The sequence below is a fragment of the Homo sapiens genome, chromosome 7 (genome assembly GCF_000001405.40).
Source record: "Homo sapiens chromosome 7, GRCh38.p14 Primary Assembly".
NCBI classification, from domain to species: Eukaryota; Metazoa; Chordata; class Mammalia; order Primates; family Hominidae; genus Homo; species Homo sapiens.
The window spans coordinates 34,228,027-34,231,058 of NC_000007.14; positions in this window are offsets into that span (position 1 = coordinate 34,228,027).

Here is a 3,032-nt window from a genome sequence, read left to right on the forward strand (position 1 = left end):
CCATATCTTAGAATTATTGAAATTTAAATGTATCCTTTAATGTTAATGAAGATCTTGCTAATAAACCAGCTAGGTTCTGAGCTATGCTTTCTATCAGTTTCTCAAATGAAAAGTTTCTTAAATGTTCCCACTTCCAGCTGCTATGGAACCTCATGTCTAATCTTAACATTCCAAGGAAAAGCAGGACTGCAGGGAAGACCCTAAAATGTGCCTGCTGCCATTCCTGTCTTCAGAAGGGGTCCCAGGGTTCCAATCTATTTACTTCTTCTGTTTCCAGATGACCCTTTGAGTAATAAGCGGCTCATGTCACACAGTCTAGTTGAGTGGTTCCCAAACGTGGTTCCATAGATCGATTGCTTAAGAATCACCTGCAGCATTGTTTTTAAAAATACAGATGACCAGGTCTCCCCCTGAAGATCCTGACTCAGTAGGTCTGGGGTGGGGCCCCCTCAGGTGTTTTGATGCACAATCACATCTGGGAGCTTCAGGGCTGGTTGAAAAGATGAGGCACAAAGTTGGAGACCAGAGGTTGACCTTGGCATTACAACTGCTCTCTGCACTCAGTGCACTCACTTGTGAGCAGGGACTGAATCACACTTGTCTTTACGTACCCTCTGAGGCCACATATGAGAGCAGATTATGTCATGGGTATTAACATGCATGGAGAATATGCCACACAAATAAGAGCTTATTTCTATTCCTCTACATTATAGGCATTGCCAAGAAAGCATCTAAATTGTTTACCAATTCAAGATTTAATATCCATCATGTTTTTACTGATATGGGTGACTCCTTCCTCATAATGAGCAGAGAACAATCTCATTCCTGACATCTCTTAGGTGACTTCTCCTGTCAGTACCTAATCTGTTGGATCCCTTCTGATGCTAAAACTTTATAACTAGCCCTTTCAGCCTTAATTCCAATTTTTGCTCATGACCAAGTCTTCTAAATTATGTTTGACAGTTGATGCAAAAATTATAACACTGTCTGATATGGTTCTAAATATATGTGAAGGGACTATTTGAAATAATTATAAACAGAAGAGGGTAAAGGGAAGTAAAAGGAGATAAGGTTTCTATATTTTGTTTGAACAGGTAAAAGGTTAACACCAGCAGACTGTGATAAATTTCGTATATATAATGTAATACTTAAAGCAATCATGAAAATGGTATACAAAGAGATATACTAAAAATTATTACAGATGAACCAAAATGCAATTCTAAAAAATTTTCAAGTAACTCGCTGAAAGCCAGAAAAAGGAAACAGAGAAACAAAAAGCAGAACAAGCAAAACAAAAAATAAAATGCCAGACTCATGCCTTAACATATTAATAATTATAGTAAATATAAATGTTCTAAGAACACCAATTAAAAGACAAAGGTTGTCAGAGTGAATTAAAACCATGACCCAACTATTTACAACCTACAAGAAACTCACTTAAAATGCATTGATACAGGCAGAATTAAAAAAAAAAAAAAGAAAGGAAATATATATATTGTGCTAACATTAATCCAAGGAAAGCAGGAGTATATATTTTATTATACTTTAAGTTCTGGGATACATGTGCAGAATGTGCAGGTTTGTTACATAGGTATACATGTGCCATGGTGATTTTCTGTACCCATCAACCTGTCATCTACCTTAGGTATTTCTCTTGATGCTATCCCTCCCCTAACCCTCCACCCCCTGACAGGCCCTGGTGTGTGATGTTCCCCTCCCTGTGTCCATGTATTCTCATTGTTCAACTCCTACTCATGAGTGAGAACATGTGGTTTTTGGTTTTCTGTTCCTGTGTTAGTTTGCTGAGAATGATGGTTTCCAGCTTCATCCATGTCCCTGAAAAAGACATTAACTCATCCTTTTTTATGGCTGCATAGTATTCCATGGTATATATGTGCCACATTTTTTAATCCGGTCTATCATTGATGGGCATTTGGGTTGGTTCCAAGTCTTTGCTATTGTGAATAGTGCTACAATAAACATATGTGAGCATGTGTCTTTATAGTAGAATAATGTATAATTTTTTGGGTATATACCCAGTAATGGGATCACTGAGTCAAATGGTATTTTTGGTTCTAGATCCTTGAGGAATTGCCACACTGTCTTCCACAATTGTTGAACTAATTTACATTGCCACCAACAGTGTAAAAGCATTCCTATTTCTTCACATCCTCTCCAGCATCTGTAGTTTCCTGACTTTTTAATGACTGCCATTCTAACTGGCATGAGATGGTATCTCATTGTGGTTTTGATTTGCATGTCTCTAATGACCAGTGATAATGAGCTTTTCTTCAAATGTTTGTTGGCCACATAAATGCCTTCTTCTGAGAAGTGTCTGTTCATATCCTTTGCCCACTTTATGATGGGATTGTTTGTTTTTTTCTTGTAAACTTGTTTAAGTTCTTTGTAGATTCTGGATATTAGCCCTTTGTCAGATGGATAGATTGCAAAATTTTTCTCCCATTCTGTAGGTTGCCTGTTCAGTCTGAAGATAGTTTCTTTTGCTGTGCAGAAGCTCTTTAGTTTAATTAGATCCCATTTGTCAATTGTGGCTTTTGCTGCCGTTGCTTTTGGTGTTTTAGTCATGAAGTCTTTGCCCATGCCTATGTCCTGAATGGTGTTGCCCAGGTTTTCTTCTAGGGTATTTATTGTTTTACATCTTACATTTAAGGCTTTAATTCATCTTGAGTTAATTTTTGTGTAAGGTGTAAGGAAGGAGTCCAGTTTCAGTTTTCTGCATATGGCTAGCCAGTTGTCCCAACACCGTTTATTAAATAGGGAATCCTTTCCTTATTGCTTGTTTTTGTCAGGTTTGTCAAGGGTCAGATAGTTTAGATGTGTGGCATTATTTCTGAGGCCTCTGCTCTGTTCATTGGTCCAGATATCTGTTTTGGTACCAGTACCATGCTGTTTTGGTTACTGTAGCCTTGTAGTATAGTTTGAAGTCAGGTAGCATAATACCTCCAGCTTTGCTCTTTTTGCTTAGGATTGTCTTGGCTATACGGGCTCTTGTTTGGTTCCATATGAAATTT